The sequence below is a fragment of the Homo sapiens genome, chromosome 9, assembly GCF_000001405.40.
Source record: "Homo sapiens chromosome 9, GRCh38.p14 Primary Assembly".
Lineage (NCBI taxonomy): Eukaryota > Metazoa > Chordata > Mammalia > Primates > Hominidae > Homo > Homo sapiens.
Window position 1 is genome coordinate 34,193,604 of NC_000009.12, and position 26,708 is coordinate 34,220,311.

Here is a 26,708-nt window from a genome sequence, read left to right on the forward strand (position 1 = left end):
GTTTGGTTAATTTGCTGGAGCATCTCACAGAACTCAGGGAAACACTGAAATTTATTGGTTTATTCTGAAGAATCTTACAAAGGATATAGATGAAGGGATGCATAGAGCAAGGTATGGGGGAAGAGGTGTGGAGCTTCTATACCCTTCTTGGGGCACCACCATCCAGGAACCTCCAGGTGTTCAGCTATCCAGAAGTTCTCTGAACCCAGTCCTCTTGGGCTTTTGTGGAAGCTTCATGATGTCAGGATGCCTTCTCTCAGGGTATAGGGCAGTCCCCTCTCTGGGGAGGGTGTTAAGACCCACAATCAGAAAGGTGGGGAAAGATTATAGTCCTTTCTTGGGGCAGGTGAAAGTAGGGCAGAGGAAGAGGTTTTGTTTCCTGAGACCTGCCCCTGAGACCTAACACACCCAATATTGTATCAGAAGACTGTAACTAGGGCTGTGGGAATTATGAACCAGGAACAGTGGATGAAAACCAATATATGTCATAACACTACAAATATATTTTACTGATGTATACAATTAGAATACCGAGTTCTAAAGTCACTTCAAATAATTATATTCTCTGGTCATTTTACTAATTTTCTGTAAAGTTAGGTTTATTTGTTTCATTTTGTATTCATTTTGAGGGCTAAAAAATTATATTGCTAAGAATGTGTAATAGCTATTTTGAAAAGTTAGAATACAGAGATGTATAAAAAGAAAAATTCTCTCTCTTTTTTTTTTTTTGAGATGGAGTCTCGCTCTGTTGCCCTGGCTGGAGTGCAGTGGCACAATCTCGGCTCGCTGTAAACTCCGCCTCCCAGGTTCACGCCATTCTCCTGCCTCAGCCTCCTCAGCAGCTGGGACCACAGGCACCTGCCACCATGCCCGGCTAATTTTTTGTATTTTTAGTAGAGATGGGGTTTCACTGTTTTAGCCAGGATGGTCTCGATCTCCCGACCTCGTGATCCTCCTGCCTCGGCCTCCCAAAGTGCTGGGATTATAGGCGTGAGCCACCGCACCTGACCAATAAAAATTTTCTTTAAGCCACCATTGGAAATATCCACTATTAGAATATTTATATAAAATATTTGTGGAGCTCACATTTATTGAAAACATTATGCCATGTGTTCAGATTGTTCTAAGCACTTTGTATGCATTATCTCATTTGATCCTTACAATAACTTTATGAGATAGTTACTATTATCTCTATTTTATTTTTCTTTTTTCAGCCAGTCAAATTTAGCAGTGGGGGGTTGTATACCAACTTTAGTAACACTGCTTTGAATAAGTTCTGATGAGCCACTACCATTGGACCAGCCTGTTATTCCCATTTGATTGATTAAAACTCAAATGTTAACTTGTACAAGGGATACGTAACCTAGTAAGTTGCAGAACTGAGACTTGACCCCTGACAATTCTTGCTCAAACTCACTTTATTCATCCCTGTGTATTGTTTTTATCTTTTTTTCTGTGCTTACACATACACGGATTTTTTTCTTTTGTCATTTGAGAACAGAGATTTTTTAAATGTATTTCATACATTCAGGTAAGTTTTTTTTTTTTTCTCTAACAGTGTCTTATAAGAAGTTTTTGATTTCATTGAAGTCCCCTTTAGTTTTTCCTTTATGGTTTGTGCTTTTGGTGTTATATCTAAGAATTTTTGCTTAATCTAAGGTCAGAAAGATGTTCTCTTCTTGAAGTTTTATACTTTCAGGTTTGACTTTTTTGTCTATGATTCATTTTGAATTAATTATATATGACGTCATATGGATGGAAGATTTTTTTTGTTTGCACATAGATATCTATTTTAGCACTTTTTGTTGAAAAGATTACCCTTTCTAAAATATTTTGTCCATGTCTATATTTGGACCTGTTCTATTCTATTGATCTGTTTGTCTATCTTTATGCCAGTATCACACTATCTTGATAATTGTAGCTTTATAATAAATTTTGAAACCAGAAAAGAAAGTTTCCCAAAGTTGTTACGACTGTAGAGCCTTTGGATTTTTCTTTTTTTTTTTTTTCTGAGACGGAGTTTCACTCTTGTTGCCCAGGCTGGAGTGCAATGGCGCGATCTCGGCTCACCGCAACCTCCGCCTCCCAGGTTCAAGCGATTCTCCTGCCTCAGCCTCCCGAGTAGCTGGGATTACAGACATGTGCCACTATGCCCGGCTAATTTTGTATTTTTAGTAGAGACGGGGTTTCTCCATGTTGGTCAGGCTGGTCTCGAACTCCTGACCTCAGGTGATCCACCTGCCTCGGCTTCCCAAAGTGCTGGGATTACAGGCATGAGCCACCACGTCCGGCCAGTCCTTTGGATTTCTATACAAATTTTTTGGTTTTTTTTTTTTTTTTTTTTTTTTTTTTTTTTTTTTTGAGATAGAGTCTCACTATGTTGCCTAGGCTGGCCTCCAACTTTTGGGCTCAAGTGATCCTCCTACCTCAGTCTCCTGAGTAGCTGCAACTACACAAACACGCTACCATGTCTGGCTCCATATGATTTTTAAAATTAGCTTGCCAAGTTTCTATAAAAAGCTGCTGGCTTTTTATTTATTTATTTATTTATTTGAGACCAGGTCTTGCTCTGACTCCTAGGCTGGAGTGCAGTGGTGTGGTCATGGCTCACTGCAGCCTCGACCTTTCGGGCTGAAGTTTATCCTCCTACCTCAGCCTCTTGAGTAGCTGGGACCACAGGTGTGTGCCACTAAGCTTGGCTAATTAAAAACAATTTTTTTTTTTTTTTGGAGACGGAATTTCACTCTTATTGCCCAGGCTGGAGTGCAATGGCGTGATCTCGGCTCACTGCAACCTCTGCCTCCTGGGTTCAAGCGATTCTCCTGCCTCAGCCTCCCGAGTAGCTGGGATTACAGGTATGCATCACCACGCCCGGCTAATTTTTTGTATTTTTAGTAGAGATGGGGTTTCGCTGTGTTGACCAGGCTGGTCTCGAACTCCTGACCTCAGGTGATCTGCCCTACTCGGCCTCCCAAAGTGCTGGGATTACGGCCACGGCGCCCAGCCTAAATAATTTTTTTTAATATAGACACGGTCTCACTATGTTGCCCTGGCTGATCCTGAACTTTTGGCCTCAAGTGATCCTCCTGTCTCAGCCTCCCAAAGCACCGGGATTACAAGCGTGAGCCACCATGCCTAGCTTCACTGATTCTTCAGCTTGATTGAGTCTGCTGTTGAAATTCTCTATTGAATTATTTGGTTCAGTCATTATATTCTTCCGCTCTAAGATTTGCTTTTTATTATTTGTTTCTTTGTTTTCATTTTGTTCATGTATTGTCTTTCTAATATTGTTATTTGTGTGTGTGTGTGTGTGTGTGTGTGTGTGTGTGTGTGTTTTTAATTGAGATGGAGTCTCACTCTGTAACCCAGGCTGGAGTGCAGTGACACAATCTTGGCTCACTGCAACCTCCACCTCCTGGGTTCAAGTGATTCTCCCGCCTCAGCCTCCCGAATAGCTGAGACTACAGGCGTGTGCCACCACACCCGGCTAATTTTTGTATTTTTAGTAGAGACGGGGTTTCACTATGTTGGCCAGGCTGGCGTTGAACTCTTGACCTTGTGATCCGCTTGCCTTGGCCTCCCAAAGTGCTGGAATTACAGATGTGAGCCACTGTGCCCGGCCAGTTATTTGTGTTTTATTATAGTTCACGGACCTTCTTTAATAGGATTATTTATTTATTTATTATTTTGTAAAAATTTTTATTAAAATTTTTTTTTTCTTTTATAGAGACGGGTTTCACTATGTTGTGCTAGTCTCAAACAGCCGGGGCTCAAGCAATCTGCCCGCCTTGGCCTCCCAAAGTGCTGGGATTACAAGTGAGAGCCACTGCACCTGGCCAAGAGGATTATTCTGAATTCTTTGTCAGTCAGTTCTATAGATCTCCATTTCTTTAGGGTTGTTTTTTGGCATTTTATTAGTTTTCTTTTGTGGTATCATGTTTCCTTGGTTCTTTTTTTTTCTTTTGAGACAGATTTTTGCTCTGTCATCTAGGCTGGAGTGCAGTGGCACGATCTCAGCTCACTGTAGCCTCTGCCTCCTGGGTTCAAGTGATTGTCCTGCCTCAGCCTCCCCAGTAGCTGGGGTTACAAGCATGTGCTACCATGCCTGGCTAATTTTTGTAGTTTTAGTAGAGATGGGGTTTCACCATGTTGGCCAGGCTTGTCTTGAACTCCTGACCTCAGGTGATCCACCTGCCTCAGCCTCCTGAAGTGCTAGGATTACAGGCGTGAGCCACTACACTTGGCCTCCTTGATTCTTAATGATCTTTTTGTCCTTGTGTTGGTTTCTGTGCATTTGAGGAAGTAGTCACTTCTTTTAGTCTTTACCAATTCATTTCTGTGAGGAAAGACCTTCACCAGTCAGCCTAACCTGGGGTTCTGGATGGGTCAGCTGGTAGTATCTGTGGGCAAGCAGGGCGTGCTGCTGGAATCTCTTGTTGAACTTGGTAGCTGCCCATACTCTGAGGTTAGGTGGGGCTTGTTCTCTGGGGTCTGAGGCCAGTGCAGGTCTGTTGGCTGGGCTCTGAGGTTAGGAGGGGCAGCTGGCTGGGCTCCATGTTTAGGCCAGGCTGCTCTGTGACTTGGGAGGGCTGCAGGCTGTACTCTGGAATTTCCCCGGTCAGGTGAGGCTACAGGGTATGCACCATAGATGGGTAGGACTATAGGCTGCATTCTGCAATCAGGTGGGGTTGTATGTTAAGTTTAGCTGTTGAATGGGGGCATTGGCTGATTTTTTTGCCTGGATGGGGCTGCTGGCCCTGCTCCAAGGTTAGACGGGTTCTGTGGCCGGGCTGCCTGGTTGGGCAGGCAGGTTGCCTGGTTGGTCCTGTGGAGTTGGAGTTTCAGCTATACTATTAGGTGAGGCCATAGGCTATGCTCAGCTGAGGTCAGACTGGATCACTGGCACAGGACCCAAGCCAGGCAGAATGTTGACTGTGCTTGTTGGATAGACATGCCGCAGATGGGCAGAGCTGGTGGTTGGGCTCTCTGGTTGGGTGAGGCCACTGGCAGGGATGTGGTCTCATTGTCATGATTTGCATACTGTTTGCTGTGAGCCCCACCCCCTTCTTTGTTCCTAGCTGACTCCAGTGGTCTAGCCCTCCCATTTCTTCCCTATGAGGCAAGACAGACATGGATCTCCTGGAAAGCACCCTGGAAAGCTGGGAAAGTTGGGGAAGCTGAATGTCTGCCTTGGGCTTTCTTTTTCCCACTGCAGAAACTATAGGCCCAGGGGATCACTCTCTGGCCCCATGTGGGCCTGGTGAGGGGCGATGCAGTCAAAAAGTCAAGCCACTCTTACCCGTCTAATGGGGCTTTTGGTATTTGTGCTCCAAGGGAGTGCTTAAGCCCTAGGCTCTGGAATTTTCACAAAGGTGTTCTTGTCTGTGGATAATTACTAATTGACATTTCTGTGATAGTGACTAGAACCTGGACCTCCTATTCCACCATCATGTTCTTGGACTCTTTTTTATTATTTATTTATTTTTTTGAGACGGAGCCTCGCTCTGTCGCGCAGGCTGGAGTGCAGTGATGCGATTTCGGCTCACTGCAACCTCTGCCTCCCGGGTTCAAGCAGTTCTCCTGCCTCAGCCTCCCGAGTAGCTGGGACTACAGGGGCACACCACCACGCCCAGCTAATATTTTGTATTTTTAGTAGAGATGGGGTTTCACCGTATTAGCCAGGATGGTCTCGAACCCCTGACCTTGTGATCCCCCCGCCTTGGCCTCCCAAAGTGCTGGGATTACAGGCATGAGCCACCGCGCCCAGCCTATTATTTATTTTTAATTTTAATTTTTTTGAGACACTATTTCTATTTTGGAATAATTTTAGATTTACAGAACATTTGTAGAGATAGTACAGAGAGTACAGAGAGTTCCTGGCTATCCCTAACTCAGTTTTCCCTAATGTTAACCATCTTACATTACCATGATACATTTGTCAAAACTGAAAAACCTACCTTGGTACGTTAGTATCAACTAAACTCTGGACTGTATTTAGATTTCCCCTGTTTTTCTTTCTTCTTCTTTTTTTTTTCTCTCTCTTTTTTTGAGACAGGGTCTCATTGTGTCTCCCCAGGCTGGAGTACAGTGGCATGATCATGTCCTACTGCAACCTTGACTACCCCTGGCTCAGGTGATCCTCCTGCCTCAGCCTCCCTAGTAGCTGGGACTACAGGCACGTGCCACCATGCCTGGCTGATTTTTTTTTTTTTTTTTTTGTAGAGACTGGGTTTCACCATGTTGCCCAGGCTGGTCTGGAACTCCTGGGCTTAAGAGATCCGATCCTTCTGCCTCGGCCTTGCAAAGTACTGAGATTACAGGTGTGAACCACTGCACCCAACCCAGGTTTTCTACAATTTTTTTTTTTCTATTTCAGGATCCAATCTAGGATAACTAAATTGTGTTTAGTTGTTATACTTTCTTAGTTTCTTCTGGTCTGTGATAGTTTCTTAGTCCTTCCCCCCGCTCCCAGTAATTTGACAGCTTTGGGGAAAACTGGTCAGGTCCTCAATTTGGTTTTGTCTGCTGTTTTCCTCGTAATTAGACTGGGCTTGTGGATTTTTGGAAAAATACCTGAGGTAAAGTACCTGTCTCAGTTATATGAAATCAGTATGGACTTGAGTATTTAGTTTATATTTTGGATTAAAGTCCCACATTGATTTATTTTGTTGCTCAAGTTGTTTTATCTTTGGCCATTGAGAGCTCTTTCAGATTGGCCTTGGCCTTAGAATCTGTCATTTCTCCAGAGAATAGGGCTTGTTTCTCTGTCAGTCTGATCTTCATTCCTTTGTAAAGACTTCATTTGTGGTATCTTGATAACTTTTAGGAGCCACCCTTTTAGGAGGGGGTTTGTTAGTGCTATTACGGTTTTATTTTTTAAGAGATTATGATTAGGATGGATAGATGTTTAGTTTGCCAACCTGATCTAAACTTTTAATTTTTGCTAAACAGAATTTGTAGCATTTAGAGCTATATGCTTTAGAATTTTTCATTGTATGATGTTTAACATACAGAAAAAATATGAATGTAAAACATCTAAGTTATGAGGCATAATAATAAACATTTGCAAGCTTATTAGTTGTCTTGAAAACTAGAGCATTACCAATACATTACTATTTATTTATTTGTCTGTTTCTGTCCTATCCTATCCTTTTACTACTCCACAGAGTTAGCTGTTCTCCCGAATTTTGGGTTTATCATTTCCTTCCTTTTATAAACCACATGATATATATTCCTAAATAATATATTGTTTATTTTTGCTTAATTGTGAGCTTTATAAAAATGTTAAACTGTATATAGGCTTAAGTGATTTTATTTTTTTTTGAGATGGAGTTTCGCTCTTGTTGCCCAGGCTGGAGTGTGATGGCGTGATCTTGGCTCACCGCAATCTCCGCCTCCCGGGTTCAAGTGATTCTCCTGCCTCAGCCTCCCGAGTGAGTAGCTGGGATTACAGGCATGCGCCACCATGCCTGCCTAATTTTTTGTAGTTTTAGTGGAGACGTGGTTTCTCCATGTTGGTCAGGCTGGTCTGGAACTCCTGACCTCAGGTGATCCACCAGCCTTGGCCTCCCAAAGTGCTGGGATTACAGGTGTGAGCCATGGCACCCAGCCTTGTTTTAGTTCTTTATTTTAGAAAGTTCCAAACTCATAAAAGTAGATTTGGCTGGGCATGACTCATGCCTGTAATCCTAGCACTTTGGGAGGGTGAGGTGGCCAGATCACCTGAAGTCAGGAAGTTCGAGACCAGTCTGGCCAACATGGTGAAACCCCAACTCTACTAAAAATACAAAAATTAACGAGTGTGGTGGTGTGTGCCTATAATCCCAGCTACTTGGGATACTGAGGCAGGAGAATCACTTGAACCCCAGAGGCAGAGGTTGCAGTGAGCTGAGATCGTGCCACTGCAGTCCAGCCTGGGTGGCAGACTGAGACTGTCACAACAGCAACAACAACAACAGCAACAACAAAAATGTAGATTAATCCTGCTTTGTAAAAACTCTTATTTTTTTCTACTCACACACCACCACAGCAATTATCAACACAGAAAAAGAATTCTGTGGCCAAATGTGTGGGCAGTTTTCCCCACACACCAAGCAGCTGCCACCAGTTGGGTGTTCTCCAGTTCAATGCCGACACTGTCTACCTGGAGATAGTGTCAGATCCCACTGGTTGAATGCGCAGTCTCCAAGATTGCCCCCTAGCACTCATCAGTCACAAGTCTGGGCCTCAAGTGCTTCTGACCACCAGCTTCACTCATGTCAGGGTTCCCTCGGTCCTCTCTTTAGGTTTAATTTGCCAGAGTGTTTCACAGAACTCAGAGAAACTCTTTTATGTTTACTGGTTTATTCTAAAGGCGATTGCAAAGTATACAGATGAAGAGATTTGTCTGGCAAGGTAGGGGGGAAGGTGCACTGACTTTCCATATCCTCCCTGGGGTGTCACCATCCACGAACCTCCGTCCAGGTGTTCAGCTAGCCAGAAGCTCTCCAAATCCAGTCCTCTTGAGTTTTTATGGAAGCTTCATGATGTTAGCATTCCTTCTCCCAGAGTACAGAGTGGGAGTCTCCGTCTTTTTCTTTTGAGACACGCTTTCACTCTGTTGCCCAGCTGGAGTGCAGTGGCACCATCTTGGGTCACTGCAACCTCCACCTCCGAGTAGCTGGGATTACAGGCATGCACCACCACGCCCGGCTAATTTTTGTATTTTTAGTAGAGATGGGGTTTTACCATGTTGGTAAGGCTGGTCTCAAACTCCTGACCTCAAGTGATCCTCCCGCCTCAGCCTCCCAAAATGCTGGGATTGTAGGAGTGAGCCACCCTGCCCTGCCTGTGAGAGGGGCTTAAGACTCACAATGAGAAAGGGGTATTGGGAGAGATAGAGTTCTACCTTAGGACAGTTGAAGGGAGGGTGGGAAAAGATTTGAGAGATTCTGTTTTCTGAGGCCTGACATACCTAGCATTATAACAGAAGACTCCAGCAAGGGCTATGGGAGTTATGGGCCAGAAGCTGTAGACAGAAACGTGTGTGTGTGTGTGTGTGTGTGTGTGTGTGTGTGTGTGTGTGTGTGTGTGTGTCCCCGTCCCCGTATATGTATGTATCATAACACCATACAGCCCCAATAACTGTCAATCTTGTTTTATATACATACCCTCTGCCCAGTTATTTTAGAGCAAATCCCAGTCATATCATTTAACCTGTCAAGTTATTTTTGTATATCTCTGAAAGATCACATAAATTACTATAATAGCATTATCCTACCTATAGAAAATGAACTTATTCCTTAATATTATCAAATATTCATGTTTTCTCAATTTTTTTATTGTGTTTTCCTCATGTGTTTGGATTGGGACTCAAATAAGGTCTGTAAGTTAGTGATTGCTTGAGATGTATTCCTTAAGATCTTTTTCAGTCTGTAGGTTCTCTTTTCATCTTGCTTTTTTTGTGTTGAAGGAAACTGAATCACTTTTTCTAAAAGTTTGCTACAGTCAGGATTTTGCAGTTTAATTCACTACTATTTTAATTAGGATTTGGGTATGTATGGATAAAACATAAATAATCAGCTAGGTGTGGTGGTACATTCCTATAGTCCCAGATACTTGGGAGGCTGAGGCAGGAAGATCTTTTGGGCTCAGGAGTTTGAGGCTGCAGTGAGCAATGTTCATGCCACTTCACTCCAACCTGGGCTGTTCAGAGCAAGACCCTGTCTCTAAAAACAAGGATCAACAAAAATTAAATATGCTTTCATTTCTGGTTCTTTTTTCTCTTTTCTCTGTCAGTTTTTGGTATCAGTGTTATGCTGATCTCATACGAGAACTTGGAATTCAGCAACATTCATTCAGCAGGAGTTACTGAGCACTACTGTGGCCGGGCACTATGCTTGGTGTAATGGTGAATGAGACAGAAGTGGTATTTGTCCTCGTAGTGCATAAAGGCAAGTGGGGAAGACAGACAATAAACAAATCCTGAATAAATTGATAAGCTACAAATATATATTTGTTTCCATTTTATGTGTTGGAATAGATTAAATAAAATAGGAATAATCTGTTTCTTAAATATTTAATAGAACTTTAAAGACATCTGTTCTGACATTTATTTTAGCATACACATATTTCATAAGCATGTGAAATTACTTAAGAACCCCTTTTCTCTCCCCATAAATCTTTGACACCGTGTGAAGTTGTTCCATCCTTATATTGTTTTTCCTTTAGGCCTACAGTGTTCCCCTGGGGATTTGAGTTTTCAAGTTTTGTGAACAAGGCTGTATTATTTCTGTGGGAAAAATCATTCAGGTTTCACATGATGGAAACAGAATGATACAATCCACTGAGTTTGAAGACTCCAGGAAGAACAAAAAATTATATTTGCAATTACTTATTTCAGGTCAAATTAATAGCTTCTAGTATGATAACTTTTTTTTGTTTTAAAATTAACCAGTTAAGAGACTGGGCGTGGTGGTTCATGCCTGCAATCCCAGAGCTTTAGGAGGCCACAGTGGGTGGATCAGTTGAGGTCAGGAGTTTGAGACCAGCCTAGGCAACGTGGTGAAATCCTGTCTCTACTAAAAATACAAAAATTAGCTGGGTGTGATGGCCCACGCCTGTAATCCCAGCTACTCGGGAGGCTAAGGCACAAGAATCTTGCTGCTGCACTCCAGAGTGCAGACGACAGAGCAAGACTCTGTCTCAAGACAACAACAACAAAAAACTGACCAGTTAGTATTGTATTAGTTACTTGTAGAGGAAAATAGTATCAAATAGTAAGGATTTTCTTATAAAAAACAAAAAAAGGGTGTGGATTGTATATACTTGCTGAGTCAAGTATACTTGTCTTTCTGAGTCAAGTAAGTATACACAGTCCACACCCATTTTTTTTTTTGAAGAAAACACCCGTTTGTTTTTATGTGCCCTCAGAATTAAGATGAAGTCTTGTGCTATCTTTTTAATATGTATAAGACTAGAAAAACCAGTGAAATTCATAGTTAGAAAATAATCTATCTCTAGTCCTTTAATTCTGGAAAGAATTCCAGAGATCATTTACTCCAGTAGTAGTCTTGTTTTATGGAAGAAGCCCTAAAAGTTCTTTTTTTTTAAATTTCAGAGGTTTTTACCCATTCTACAAGTCTTTTAATTGCCTCAGGTGCTCTTGTCTTTCTTGCCTTCTGGTATGAATTGTGATATGATTTTTGGAGTTGGGAAGGAAATTATATTTTTGGTTCAATAACTTGTTGACATTATTTTTTTGCCAACCAGTCTTTATTCAGTTGCAAGAATTAAATTGATAGGTTCGTGGTCAGATTTCCTCTTGAGGACACTGCACTGAACTCTCTGAAGAAAATACTTTAAATAAATTGTAATGAATTGGTTAAGATGCTGACTTGAAATTTCTGATTGGCTAATGCTTTAATTTTTATTTTTTTTGAGACAAGTTCTCACTCTGTTACCCAGAGTGAGAGTGCAGGCTGGAGTGCAGTGGCGCCATCACTGTTCACTGCAGCTTCGACCTCCCCAGGCTCAGGTGGTCCCCTGCCTCAACCTCCTGAGTAGCTGGGACTACAGGTGTGTGCCACCACACCTGGCCAGTTTTTGTATTTTTTGTAGAGACAGGTTGTCACTATGTTGCTCAGGCTAGTCTTGAACTCCTGGGCTCAAGTGATCTTCCAGTCTCCCAAAGTGCTGGGATTACAGGCCTGAGCAGTCACACCCAGCCCTGGCTAATGCTTTGAAGTCATGACTCCCATTCTGATTTTTAACTAGTCATTACTTTCCTGTTCTTCCATTATGGTAGTCTCACAAGACTTATAATTTCAGACTTTTTATTGGTAACTACAAGAGATTATTGTTTTAGCTTTTTCATTTTAAAGATATTGTTTTGTCTAGTTGTATTCTGAAATTACATGTTAGGTATAATTATTAGTTGTACAATTAGCTATTAAATTTTCAGAAAGTTTGAAGGGAGAGAGTAAGTGAAAAGCCACTCCTGCTAAAGATTAGACACTGTACTAGATGCTTGGAGGATTAAGAGGAGACCAGAGCTAAGGGAAATCTTTGTCTGGATTTTATTGACCCATTTTGGAATTAGCTGCAGATCTTAAGAAATCAGATTGGGTTGGCAGGACGTGGTGGCTCATGTCTGTAATCTCAGCACTTTGGGAGGCTGAGGCGGGAGGATCACGAGGTCAAGAGATTGAGACCAGCCTGGCCAACATGGTGAAACCCCGTCTCTACTAAAAATACAAAAATTAGCCAGGTGTGGTGGCGGGCACCTGTAGTCCCAGCTACTCAGGAGGCTGAGACAGGAGAATGGCATGAACCCCGGAGGTGGAGGTTTCAGTGAGCCAAGATCGTGCCACTGCACTCCAGCCTGGTGACAGAGCGAGACTCCGTCTCAAAAAACAAACAAACAAAAAACAGTTTGGGTCAATAATTTGCGTTTACAGTACTAGTTTATGTACTTATTTGTCACTTTGTAATTTTTAGGGAGTTGCTTTTCAACTGTAATCTGTTTTTATTAAACTATTTGAAATGAGCTTTGTATTCAGTCACTAGTTGTGTTTCTCCCTTCCAAGTACTAACCAGGCTCAACCCTGCTTCTGAGATCAGACAAGATCAGGAGCGTTCAGGGTGGTTTGGTTGTAGACACTAATTGCTTTGCTTATAAGCCTTAAGGATACCTTACAATTAATAACTTTGGTAAAACCTCATTTGAAAAATAAGACTAAGCCTGAGCCAAACGGCAAAATCCCATCTCTACAAAAAATTAGCCGAGCATGGTGTTGGGTGCCTGTGGTCCCAGCTACTCAGGAGGCTGAGGTGGGAGGATCACTTGAGCTCGGGAGGTTGAGGCTGCAGTGAGTCAAGATTGTGCCACTGCATTCCAGCATGGGTGACAGAGTGAGACCCTGTCTCAAAAAAAAGAAAAGAAAAAAGTAAGACTAAAATCAGTTAGTGACAAAACTTATGTATTACAGCATCTTGACTTAAAAAAAAAACAAACCAAAACCCTTCATTTTCCGAGTTTTTCATAAGCCAGGTATTTTCTTAAATTTGAAGTCTTAGAAACTTAGGTTATTTTGGCTCGCTAGCTGTATGTGTAGAGTGAAAATAGTATTTCTACATTTGGTCAGTTGCATAATGTTACTATACCTTTGATCCATCTGGAATTTATCTTGGTATGCAGTGTGAAGCAAGCATCGGATTCTGCTTTTTTCTAGGTGACTACCCAGTTGTCCCATGACTTGATTTTAAAAAGCAGCTTTATTATATACCAAATGTTTATATTTTGGGTATTTTTAGGGATTTCTACTTTGTTCCACTAATCTGTATTTGTACCAGTACGACACAGCTTTCAGTATTGTATCTTCTAATATTTTAATATCTGATAGGCTAGTCTCCATTTTCTTCGGAGATTTTTTCTTTTTTTTCTGCGTTTGCTTAATTGTTATTTCTTTTTTTTTTTTTTTTTTTTGAGATGGAATTTTGCTCTTGTCGCCCAGGCTGGAGTGCAATGGTGTGAGCTCAGCTCACTGCAACCTCTGCCTCCCAGGTTTAAGTGATTCTCCTGCCTCAGCCTCTGGAGTGGGTTAGGATTACGGGCTCCCGCCACAGCTAATTTTTGTATTTTTAGTAGAGATGGGGTTTCACCATGTTGGCCAGGCTGGTCTCAAACTCCTGACCTTAGGTGATCTACCCACCTCAGCCTCCCAAAGTGCTGGGATTACAGGTGTGGGTCACCACGCCTGGCCGCTTAATTGTTATTTCTACATGAACTTTAGAATCAGCTTGTCTAATTAAAAAAAAAAAAAAAGAAAGAAAAACATGGTACTTCAGTTTTCATTTGCATCATGGCAAATTTGTATAGCAACTTAGAATTGATCTTAATAATGTTGAATATCCCGCTCAAGAGTATTGTATGTTTTTCTAATTGTCTAAGTTTTCTTTTGTGTCTTTCAGTACAGGTTTAGTTTTCTCCCTTTATGTCTTCAGTTTATTCCTAGTTCTTAACTGCTGTGGTATATTGGTATGTTGTGTGTTTCTCTTATATTTCTTTTTATTTATTTCTTTTTTTTTTTTAAAGAGATGGGATCTTGCAATGTTGCCCAGGCTGGACTCGAACTCCTGGGCTTAAGCAGTTCTCTTGTTTCAGCACATTATATTTATTATCTGGCCATGTATATATGAAGGCTGTTTCAGAGTATTAATTTGTTTCAGAATATTAATTTTGTATCCAGAAATAGTTTATCGTATTCTCTTGTCAGTTTTTGGGTTTTCCTGGGAAAGTTTCTTATCTGAGTTTTTATGCTTTTTATTTCTCCCATCTAATATGAAATAACAATGCTAAGCAATTGTGATAATAATGGATATCTTTGTCTTGTTGCTGTCCTTCGTGGGAATACTTCTGTAGTCTCCCCACTAGTCAGCATAATCTGGTATTTGGTATTAGTTTTTTGTTTTTTAAAACTCATGTAAAGGAGATAGCCATATGATTTTTCTTCTTTGAGCATTAATGCTGAATTATATCAGCAGAATTGTTAATGTTGGTGTTGGACTGTATTTATGCAAAAAATCTCACTTGGACATGGTTTATTCCTAAAATGTACTGGTAATTTTGGTTGTTACTTTTTTTTTTAATCAAGGATTTTCATATCTGTATTTATATATTCAATTTTTCCGAAGTTTTTTGGCACCAATATTATACTCATTTTGTAAATACAAATTAGACACTTTTCTATATTTTGGATCCATTAAAATCCCACTGGAGGCCGGGCACAGTGGCTTATGCCTGTAATCCCAGCACTTTGGGAGGCCGAGGCAGGCAGATCACCTGAGGTCAGGAGTTCGAGACCATCCTAGCCACCATGGTGAAACCCTGTCTCTACTAAAAATAAAAAAATTAGCCGGGCGCGGTGGCTCACGCCTGTAATCCCAGCACTTTGGGAGGCCGAGGCGGGCAGATCATGAGGTCAGGAGATTGAGACCATCCTGGTTAACACAGTGAAATCCCGTCTCTACTAAAAATACAAAAAAATTAGCCGGACGTGGTGGCGGGCGCCTGTAGTCCCAGCTACTTGGGAGGCTGAGGCAGGTCAATGGCGTGAACCTGGGAGGCGGAGTTTGCAGTGAGCCGAGATGGCACCACTGCACTCCAGCCTGGGCGACAGAGTGAGACTCTGTCTCAAAAAAAAAAAAAAAAATTAGCTGGGTGTGGTGGTGGGTACCTGTAATCCCAGCTACTCGGGAGGCTGAGGCGGGAGAATTGCTTGAGCCTGGATGGTGGAGGCTCAAGCCTGGATGGAGTGAGCCGAGATCAAGCTGGTTATTAACTCAGCTTCGTATTTTAGTTCTATTTTTTGAGGTGGAGTCTCACTCTGTTGCTCAGGCTGGAGTGCAGTGGCGTGATCTCGGCTCACCGCAACCTCCGCTTCCTGGGTTCAAGCCATTCTCCTGCCTCAGCCTCCCGTGTAGCTGGGATTACAGGCATATGCCATGAGACCTGGCTAATATTTTTTGTATTTTTAGTAGAGATGGAGTTTCACCATGTTGGCCAGGCTGGTCTCAAACTCCTGACCTCAAGTGATCTGCCTGCCTTGGCCGCCTCCCAAAGTGCTGGGATTACAGGCGTGAGCCACCACGCCTGGCCTGACTCAGCTACTTCTGATTTTGGAAATTTATCATGGTTTTCTTTGTGTCCTAATATTTACACAAGTTTTGTAACATGTTCTTTGGGTATTTTAAAAAGTGTGTCCTGCTTTCAAGATGCTTTTGATCTAACAATATAAATTAAATCTAGATTAGAGCTAAATTAGATTTGTTATCTATTTCTGCCTAGTTTTTGTTTCCTATCATTTTTGCCTTTTGAGTGGTAATGCTATGTTATTTGGGGCAATTCAGTATTGATATTCAGTGGTTTGCACTCTTTATTGTTAATAAAGTAAAACACAATGGTTTGCACTCTTTATTGTTAATAAAGTAAAACACCTGTTACGTACTCCATGAAGTCTATAACCTAGAGTCATTTGTATGCTTACTGGTCTAGAAACCACTGATTTATTCTTTGTTCTTTTTTCTCTCTCTGAAGTCGTTATCTTTCATTAGTTACCTATTTTTTTTTTTGTTTGTGTTTTTTCCAGCGCTCTGTTGAATTACATATTATTGTATTTCCTTTTAATCCTCTTATAGGTGCTTGTTGCATACCAGTTTTTTTCCCCCAATTACAAAGTATGTGTGTGTTGATCATAGATAAATGTATGCATCTATGCTCAGTACAGGAAACCTGGAAAACAGCACAAAAGGAAAAACCAAAAGGCTAAATTTGTGATCCCACCATTATAAAAATATCTTATCCTTATTTGTTTCCATATCCACATAAACATACTTCTCTCTTTTCCACAATGTCAGGGCCTATTAAATCTTGTTTCTATACGCTAGTGACTCCAATTTTCTTTTTTAATTTGCGATAAAACGGGTGCTTAGGAAAATCTGAACCAGTATTTTATTCCAGCTGAATTAAAAGAAATTGATGCATAAAGAAAAGCTTACTGGAGCTATTGAAATGTTCCTCAGTATGAATCAGGGTACTGTGACCTCTTGTTGGCCTTCCATTTTCAGCCAAGTACGCCGATGTGCAGCGGACAGTAATAAGGGGGCTAAGTTTTGCAAACACAGAGCTTGTGGACAGTGATAGATCCTGAAAGTAGTGTCTCTTGCTAATTCTCAGACTTAACCTGACTGAAAGCAAGGCCTCACAAATTGAATTCAGTCTTCACAGTTACGTTCTTAACTAACACAAAAAAATATTCTAATACTATTCTGTTCAAATAAAAATTTACGTTTTCTGGCCAGGTGCGGTGGCTCACACCTGTAATCTCAGCACTTTGGGAGGCCAAGATGGGTGGATCACCTGAGGTCAGGAGTTTGAGACCAGCCTGGCCAACATGGCAAAAACCCATCTCTACTAAATACAAAAAAATTAGCTGGGCATGGTGGTGTGTGCCTGTAGTACCAGCTACCTGGGAGGCTGAGGCAGGAGGATTGCTTGAACCTGGGAGGCAGAGGGTTGCAGTGAGCCGAGATTGTGTCACCACACTCCAGCCTGAGTGACAGAGGGAGACTCCATCTTTAAAAAAAAAAAAAATTTTTTTTTTTTACATGTTTTCTATAGGTATACTAGTTTACTGGTAGAGTGGTTGGAAATGTTTTGCCTTTTTGAAAGTTATATTTAATTCACCAACCTTTTTTTTTCTTTAAACACATCGTTGCTGGTTTGAATAATTTGTCAACCTTTGTGGAGCTCTTTCTGCATGTCAGGCAGTATATAAAAGTATCTTTTGTTAATTTTTATAATAAGAATCATTTGAGATTACTTTATATGTGGTATAGGGGAATGGTTTCCAGGCTTGGGTTTTATGGATCAGTAAGAAAAAAAATGGGATGATGAACATATGATTGCTAGCTTTTAATTTTGTCAATATAGACATTGGTATCATTTATCTTGAATACTCAATATTTAATTTGGAAACATGAATATTTTTCCTTCATTTATTCTCTCATTATAGATTTATGGTCTATCTAGAGTTGGCTGGTTATTCAGTCTACTACCTTTATTTTACTGATGAGGGAGCTGAGGCTCCAAAATGCCTTTGAGACCCCAGAGAGAAGACAGAAAACTTCTTTCTCATGAATATATTATAGCCTAATATTGACATGTTACTAGCAGTTACAAACATAAATGTTGCTATGACTTGTATGGGAGTTAATTTTTCTTCAGGCTTGAAATGTGATGATTCCCAAAGCCATCTTTTTGTGTAAATTAGATAATTTCCTGGATTAATTTGTATCTTGGGAAATTACTGATTGCAGCTATTATTTTAGAAGTGTGACTGATAGCTTACTGAGATTCTGAGTTGCTATTTTGTTTTGGGAAGCATTTTTAGAGAGTATTATAATAATTTGACAGATATGCAAAAGGAAAGGAAGTGAAAATGAGAGAACATTAATACAGTTGCCCTTGGGCTTTCTCCTCCCCTTCTCAGAGGGCCTGGTCCTTCGCAAGGTGTTTTTTATTATTACTTTTTAAAAATTTCCTGGTCTCCTATCCCTGCCTCCTTCAACTTTTCCTTTTCCCATTTCTTCCCATTCCTTAACCCATCTCTTCTTCTTTCATTCTGGCTCCTCCTTCTCTCCCTGCATTTCTCTTGTTACCTGTTTCCCCATCTCTTTTTATTCTTAGATTTATTCTTTGTTCTTTTTTCTGATGTCTTTAACCAGTAATTCAGATTTTAAGTTACCGGGTTTTCTTCCTGTAGCATTTGAACTGAAGTGATACTGAGCTGGAAAAATAGAATATCACTGATAAGTTGTTGGTTTTGGGATTTCTAAGTTTTATTAGTGTAAAAGTTCTTGAATTATGAATGTGTGTTCCAATCCATACCACCAGCTAAAAAAGAAAAAGAATATGTTTTATTGTTATTTTTGATTGATACTTTCCCTTTAATAGAAGCATATACTTATTTTAGTGGAAATTTATGATTGATTATAAATTTTTTTCCCTGTGATTAATTATAGCTTTACATTAGTGGCAAACATTTCTTTCAGTCTTGTTTTGTGCACATTTTTTACATAAGGCAATTTAATTTAATTTATTAAAACATTTTAAAATTTATAATTATTGGCCAGGAATGGTGGCTTATACCTGTAATCCTAGCACTTTGGGAGGCCAAGGCAGGAGGATAGCTTGAGTTCAGAAGTTCAAAACCAGCCTGGTTAACATAGTGAGACCTCATTTCTATTAAAACACACACACACACACACACACACACACACACACTTATAGTTATTTTCTATTTATTATATGCTTTTTAAAAATAAAATAATTTTTTTAGTTCCATGTCTACTCCTATGTTATGTGCCTTTAGTAGACACTCTTAGTGCCATCACAACGTTATCTTCTGGATTTTCCATTATTTAATCATTTTTCCATAATTGAGTATTTAGATAATAGGAGAGTATTGTAAAATAAATGGGTTTAGGGAAAATACAACCCTCCTAGCTTAAATCAGGAGGAATTGGATACCCTGAACAGACCAATAACAAGCAGCAAGATTGAAATGGTAATTTAAAAATTACCAACAAAAAAGTCCAGGACCAGATGGCTTCACAGCAGAATTCTACCAGACATTCAAAGAAGAGTTGGTACCAATCCTTCTGACACTATTCCACAAGATAAAGAAGGAACCATGCCTAATTCATTGTATAAAGCCAGCATCACCCTACCAAAACCAGGAAAGGACATAACCAAAAAAGAAAACTACAGACTAATATCCTTGATGAACATAGATGCTAAAATCCTTAACAAAATACTAGCTAACCAAATCTAGCAACATATCAAAAAGATAATCCACCATGATCAAGTGGGTTTCATACCAGGGATGCAGGGATGGTTTAACATATTTAAGTCAATAAATGTGATACACCACATAAACAGAATTAAAAACAAAAGTCACATGATCATCTCAATAGATGCAGAAAAAGCATTTGACAAAATCCAGCATCCCTTTATGATTAGAACTCTCAGCAAAATCAGCATACGAGGGACATACCTCAATGTAATGAAAGCCATCTCTGGGCCAGGTGCAGTGGCTCACATCACACCTGTAATCCCAGCACTTTGGGAGGCCGAGGCAGGTGGATTACCTGAGGTCAGGAGTTTGAGACCAGCCTGGCCAACATGGTGAAACCCCGTCTCATCTAAAAATACAAAAATTAGCTCGGCATGGTGGCAGGCGCTTGCAATCCCAGCTACTCAGGAGACTGAGACAGGAGAATCGCTTGAACCCAGGAGGTGGAAGTTGCAGTGAGCCGAGATCGCACCATTGCACTCCAGCATGGGCGACAGAGCGAGACTCTGTCTCAAAAACAAAAACAAAAAAACCCAACCATCTATGACACACCTACAGCCAACCTAATACTGAATGGGGAAAAGTGGAAAGCATTACCTGTGAGAACTAGAACAAGACAAGGATGCCTGTTCTCACCACTCCTCTTCAACATAGTACTGGAAGTCCTAGCCAGAACATTCAGACAAGGGAAAGAAAGAAAGGGCATCCAAACTGGTAAAGAGGAAGTCAAACTGTCACTGTTTGCTGACAATATGATCGTTTACCTTGAAAACCCTAAAGCCTCCTCCAGAAAGCTCCTAGAACTGATAAAAGAATTCAGCAAAGTTTCTGGATACAAGATTAATGTACACAAATCAGAAGCTCTTCTATACACCAACAGTGACCAAGCAGAGAATCAAATAAAAAACTCAACCCCTTTTACAACAGCTGCAAAAAAAAAAAATACTTAGGAATATACCTAACTAAGGAGTCAAAAGACCTCTACAAGGAAAACTACAAAACACTGCTGAAAGAAATCATAGATGGCACAAACAAATGGAAGCACATCCCATGCTCATGGATGGGTAGAATCAATATTGTGAAAATGACCATACTGCCAAAAGCAATCTACAAATTCAATGTAATCCCCATCAAAATACCACCATCATTCTTCACAGAATTAGAAACAACATTTCTAAAATTCATATGGAACAAAAAAAGAACCTGCATAGCCAAAGCAAGACTAAGCAAAGAGAACAAATCTGGAGGCATCACACTACCTGATTTCAAACTATACTATAAGGCCATAGTCACCAAAACAGCACGGTACTGGTATAAAAATAGGCACACAGACCAATGGAACAGAATAGAGAACCCAGAAATAAACCCAAATACTTACAGCCAATTGATCTTCGACAAAGCAAACAAAAACATAAAGTGGGGAAAGGATACCCTTTTTAACAATAGCACTGGGATAATTGGCTGGCCATATGTAGGACAATGAAACTGGATCCTATACAAGATAGATTAAGGACTTAACGACCTGAAGCTATAAAAAATTCTAGAAGGTATCATTGGAAAAACCCTTCTAGACATTGGCTTAGGCGAGGATTTCATGACCAAGAACCCAAAAGCAAATGCAATAAAAACAAAGATAAATAGCTGGGACCCAATTAAGCTAAAGAGCTTTTGCACAGTAAAAGGAATAGTCAGCAGAGTAAACAGACAACCCACAGAGTGGGAGAAAATCTTCATAATGTATACATCTGACAAAGGACTGATATCCAGAATCTACAACCAACTCAGTAAGAAAAAAACAATCCCATCAAAAAGTGGGCTAAGGACATGAATAGACAGTTCTCAAAAGAGGATATACAGATGGCCAACAAACATGAAAAATGCCCAACATCACTAATGATCAGGGAAGTGCACATCAAAACCACAATGTGATACCACCTTACTCCTGCAAGAATGGCCATAATAAAAAAATAAAAAAACAGTAGATGTTGGCGTGGATGCAGTGATCAGGCAACACATTTACACTGCTGTGGGAATGTAAACTAGTACAGCCACTCTGGAAAACAGTGTGGAGATTCCTTAAAGAACTAAGAGTAGAACTACCATTTGATCCAGCAGTCCCACTACTGGATATCTACCCAGAGGAAAAGAAGTCATTTGAAAAAGATGCTTGCACATGTATGTTTATAGCAGCACAATTCACAAGTGTAAAATCATGGAAGCAACCCAAATGCCTATCAACGAATGGATAAACTGCTGTGTGTATATATGTATATATGATAGTGTGTGTGTGTGTATATATATGTATATAAGTATGTATATATGTGTCATATATATATATATATGATGGAATACTGCTCAGCTGTAAAAAGGAATGAATTAGCATTTGCAGTGACTTGGATGAGATTGGAGACTGTTCTAAGTAAAGTAACTCAGGAATGGAAAACCAAACATCTAATGTTCTCACTGATAGGTGAAAGCTAAGCTATGAGGACGCAAAGGCATAAGAATGATACAGTGGACTTTGGTGACCTGGGGGGAAGGGTTGGAGGGGGGTGAGGGATAAAAGACCACAAATAGGGTGCAGCGTATACTGCTCGGGTGATGGGTGCACCGAAATCTCACAAATCACCACTAAGGAACTTATGTAACTGAATACCACCTGTACCCCAATAACTTATGGAAAAATAAATAATAAAAAAAGGGTTTAAAAAAGTATAGGAAGTTATTGGTGAAACGTGTGTACATATATATATGTACACACACACACACACATACATGTATGTACATATATATAAAAGATGTTCTGGGGGAAGAAAACTGACCCTAAATAGGTATTAAAATGCCTTTGAGCTTTGAGAGACTGAAGTTTTGCTGCATAGTGGACCTTAGAAAAATCTTTATGTGCCCAAATATAGATTTCTCATATTCTTAAGGACTGTGGAAAATAATATATAATATGGGAAAAAAATATTTTATCAGCTCTATTGAGGCATGATTTAAAAAATTTTACATTATTTACTAATAAAGAGAACTGTATTTTATTTTTCATTTACTATTCCTTGTGGTCTTCTATCTAGTTGTTCACTGCCTCATTGCCTCTCTGATTTTCAAACTTGGAAGTTATTGACACGCGTCTTTCTGGCCCTCTCCTCTGGAGCACCTCTCTGCTGCCAATTTTTTTCTGCCATTTTTTTTTTTGTAATTTAATTTAAAAAAAAACTTACTGAGGTGAAATTCACATAGCATGAAATTAACCATGTTAAAATGATCAATTTAGTGGCATTTAGTACTCTCATAGTGTTGTGTAATCACCATATCTGGTTCTGAAACCTTTCCTTCACTCCAAAGGAGACCCTTACCAACTACACAGTTTCTCTTTCCCAGACCCAGGCAACCGCCAGTCTGCTTTCAGTCTCTTTGGATTTTCCCTTTCTGGACACCTCATATGAATGGCATCACACAATATTTGTGAACTTTTATGTCTTCTTTTTTTTATTTTAAATTTTTTTTAGAGCTGGGGTCTCACTCTGTTGCCCAGGCTGCAGTGCAGTGGTGCGATCATAGCTCACTGCAGCCTTTTACCACCTGGACTCAAGTGAACCTGATTAGCTGGGACTACAGGCATGCACCACCACACCATGCTAATTTTTTTTTTTTTTTTTTTTTTTTTTTTGAGACTGGCTCTCTTGCCCAAGCTGGAGTGCAGTGGCTTAATCATGGCTCACGGCAACCTTTGCCTCCTGGGCTCAAGCCATCCTCCCACCTCAGCCTCCCAAGTAGCTGGGACTACAGGTGCGTACCACCATGCTCGGCTAATGTTTGTATGTTTAGTAGAGATGGGGTTTGGCCATATTACCCAGGGTGGTCTCAAACTCCTGAGCTCTAGTTAATTTTGAAATATAGAATATATTATTGTTAACTGTAGTCACCTTACTGTACAATAGAATACCAGAACTTATTCTTCCTATGTGATGGTAACTTTAATCATTCATCAACTTCTCCCCATCCCACTCCCTGCCCTTCCCTTTACTACCCTCCCCACCTCTCCGGCCTCTGGTAATTACTATTATACTCTCTACTCTTTTGGGAAGGGTGTTTGCTATTTATTTATGATAAATATTCCACATCTGTGATTCTCCACAGTCAGAAGTTCTTTGAGAGGATGCCATCAGCCTTGGTCAGTCAGAGAATGGAGTCATCTGATTTACCATCCTGTGAATGGCCCTAGGCAGATAGCATAGGTGATTGTTGTTACTGTTTTGAGACAGAATCTCTGTTGCCCAAGCTGGAGTGCAGTGGCATGATCTCAGCTCACTGCAGCCTCTGCCTCCTGGGTTCAAGTGATTCTTCTGCCTCAGCCTCCCAAGTAGTTGAGACTACAGGCATGTGCCACCATGCCCGGCTAATTTTTGTATTTTTGTAGATACTGGGTTTCACCATGTTGGCCAGGCTGGTCTCGAATTCCTGACCTCAGGTGATCTGCCTTCTTCGGCTTCTCAAAGTTCTAAGATTACAGTCGTGAGCCACCGTGCCTGGCTGGTGGCGGTGGTGGTTTTTTTAATTTTTTTAATTTTTGTTTTTTCAACTTTTATTTTGATTCGGGGGCACATGTGCGGTTTGTTACCTGAGTAACAAAAAAAAAAGCCTCTGCCTTTATGAGATAAACTTTTTTATATTCTGTATGAGTAAGATCATACAAAATTTGTCTTTCTGTGTCTGGCTTGTTTCAGTTAACACAAAGTCCTGCAGATTCATTCACATTGTCATAAATGACAGGATTTCGTTCTTTTTTTTTTTTTTTTTTTTTTTTTTTTTTGAGACAGACAGTCTTGCTGAGTTGCCCAGGCTGGAGTGCAGTGGCACCATCTCGGCTCACTGCAACCTCCGTCTCCCAGCCTCAAGTGATTCTCATGCTGGATTTCATTCATTTTTTTATGGTGAACAGTTGAGCCTTTTAAAAAAGCCAAGCATCTGGCTGGGTGCAGTAGCTCGCGTCTGTGATCCCAGCACTTTGGGAGGCCGAGGCGGGTGGATCACAAGGTCAAGAGATCCAGATTATCCTGGCCAACATGGTGAAACCCCGTCTCTACTAAAAATACAAAAAATTAGCCAGGCGTGGTGGCGGGGGCCTGTAGTCCCAGCTACTCCGGAGGCTGAGGCAGGAGAATGGCTTGAACCCGGGAGGCGGTGGTTGCAGTGAGCCGAGATCATGCCACTGCACTCCAGCCTGGTGACAGAGCGAGACTCCATCTCAAAAAAAAAAAAAAAAAAAAAAAAAAAAAAAAAAAAAAAAAAAAGCCAAGCACATCCATTTAAATTTTGGTGGAACTTCTTTATAACATTCCTGGTGTCAGCATATTCTAGGTGTTGTTTGGAAAATTATTTATTAAATCAAAGACTCAGCCTCTCTCAAGTTCTTTACCTCAACAACAGTTGCTTCTTCAAACAGCTGATATCACACAATTTTTATTGTGGTTATAGAAATGAAACACTAATTTTCTGCATATGTCTGTGAGCATATTCACAACTCATTGCTGGAAGTTTAGATACCGCTACTTTCCCAATTTAGGAAAACAGATTTCTGGTATGTGCCTACGTGGGAAGGTTGAGGCTGCTAAGAGTCTTGCTTCTGGGTTTTAGAAGTCTCACTGTGAGACCGGGTGCAGTGGCTCATGCCTGTAATTGCAGCACTTTGGGAGGCTGGGGTGAGTGGATCACTTGAGCCCAGGAGTTTAAGACCAGCCTATCCAACATGGCAAAACCCCGTTTCTACTAAAAATACAAAATAATTAGCCGGGTGTGATGGCACACTCCTGTAATCCCAGCTACTCAGGGAAGCTGAGGCATGAGAATTGTTTGAACCTGGGAGGCAGAGGTTGCAATAAAGATTGTGCCACTGCACTCCAGCCTGGGTGACAGCAAGATGCCTGTGAATGTTTTCTGCACATATAAAAAGGTTAAATCATTTTCAGTATGGTTTGCTGGTTCTTTGAAAATTGATAATACATACACTTTATAAATTTAATTCTCCATGAACTACAATATCAAACAGAATACACTCTATCTCTACACCATGCTGAAAAATGGAAACTTTTTTTTTTTCTTTTTGGTAACAGGATCTTGCTGTGTCGCCTAGGCTGGAGTGCAGTGGCACAATCACTGGTCACTGCAGCCTTGACTTCCTGGGCTCAGGTGATTCTCCTACCTCAGCCTCCCGAGTAGCAGGGACTACAGGCATGCAACACCACACCGGCAAATTTTTTGTATCTTTGTAGAGATGAGGTTTCACCATGTTGCCCAGGCTGGTCTTCGAACTCCTGGGCTCAAGTAATCCACCTGCCTCAGCCTTCCAAAATGTGGGATTACATGTGTAAGTCACCACGCCTGGCTGAAAACAGAAACTTTTCAAGAAAAGTTTTAAAAGAAACTACCAAATTAATAGATGTTACCATATAACGTTCAGAAATACAAATATTTTATGAATTATTTCCAGTCCTATTACTTGGAGGCAACCATTGTAAATATTTTTTATGTACAAGTTGAGTATCCCTCATCTAAATCCTTGGCACCAGAAGTGTTTCAGATTTCAGATTTTCTAACTTTTTGCCTCATACTTATTGGTTCAGCATCCCTAATCTGAAAAAAATGCCCCTGTGAACATTGAGTTTTGTCTTGTCTCCCTCCCCTCCCCTCCTTTCCTCTCCTCTCCTCTCCCCTCCCTTCCCCTCCCCTCCCCCTCCCCCTTCCCCTCCCCTCCCCTCCCCTCTCCCCTCCCTTCTCCTCTCCCCTTTCCCATCTCCACTTTCCCCTCTCCCCTCCCCCTTCCCTCTCCCTTCCCCTTCCCCTCCCCCTTCCCTCTCCCTTCCCCTCCCCCTTCCCTCTCCCTTCCCCTCCCCTCTCCCTTCCCACCTCCCCCCTCTCCCCTCCCCTCCCCTCCCTTCTCCCCTCTCCCCTCTCCCCTCCCCTCCCCCTTCCCTCTCCCTTCCCCTCTGCTCCCCTCCCACCTCCCCCTACCCCTCCCCCTCCCCTCCTCTCCCCTCCCCTTCCCCTCCCCTCCCCCTCCCCTCTCCCCTCTCCCCTCCCCTTCCCTCCCCCTCCCCTCCCCTCTTCCCTCCCCCTCCCCTCCCCTCCCCTCCCCTCCCCTTTCCTCTCCTGCCCTCTCCTCTCTTTTCTTAGACAGGGTCTTGTGCTGTTGCACAGGCTAGAGTTCAGTGGCACCTTCTTAACTCACTGCAGCCTCAAATCCTGAGCTTAAGTGATCATCTCACATCAGCCTCCCAAGTAGCTAGGACAATAGGCATGCGTCACCACGCC

At 41.1% G+C, this 26,708-nt stretch overlaps 1 protein-coding gene and 1 pseudogene across 11 annotated transcripts in view, besides 2 other annotated features; one reads left to right on the forward strand and one right to left on the reverse strand.

Annotated features, from left to right (window-relative positions):
- UBAP1 (ubiquitin associated protein 1) overlaps positions 1–26,708 on the forward strand; it is a 73,519-nt gene that overhangs the window by 14,599 nt on the left and 32,212 nt on the right. For 2 of the 11 annotated variants that reach the window (XM_047423457.1, XM_017014802.2), the window contains exon 1: positions 23,069–23,186. The exons of 5 other annotated variants lie outside the window; for them this stretch is intronic. Coding sequence is in view for 1 of the 6 variants with exons in the window: in XM_017014802.2 (XP_016870291.1) it covers positions 23,111–23,186 (76 nt within the window). In the remaining 5 variants the exon portion in view is untranslated. Of the gene's footprint in view, positions 1–2,732; positions 2,856–6,300; positions 6,321–9,777; positions 9,933–23,068; positions 23,187–26,708 lie in introns of those variants that run through there. 4 more of the 11 variants (NR_033243.3, NM_001171204.3, NM_001171203.3 and 1 more) reach the window with 4 other exon arrangements.
- Positions 77–126: an enhancer, noted in NCBI's record as "active region_28306". NCBI's record gives its function as "activates an Ori minimal core promoter by ATAC-STARR-seq in GM12878 lymphoblastoid cells {active_cell/tissue: GM12878}" and the evidence as "EXISTENCE:reporter gene assay evidence [ECO:0000049][PMID:35858748]".
- Positions 4,041–4,991: an enhancer, noted in NCBI's record as "H3K27ac-H3K4me1 hESC enhancer chr9:34197642-34198592 (GRCh37/hg19 assembly coordinates)". NCBI's record gives its function as "activates a minimal SCP1, AML or CMV promoter by ChIP-STARR-seq in primed H9 embryonic stem cells {active_cell/tissue: H9 hESC(primed)}" and the evidence as "EXISTENCE:reporter gene assay evidence [ECO:0000049][PMID:30033119]".
- On the reverse strand, positions 12,531–12,638 carry RNA5SP282 (RNA, 5S ribosomal pseudogene 282; annotated as a pseudogene).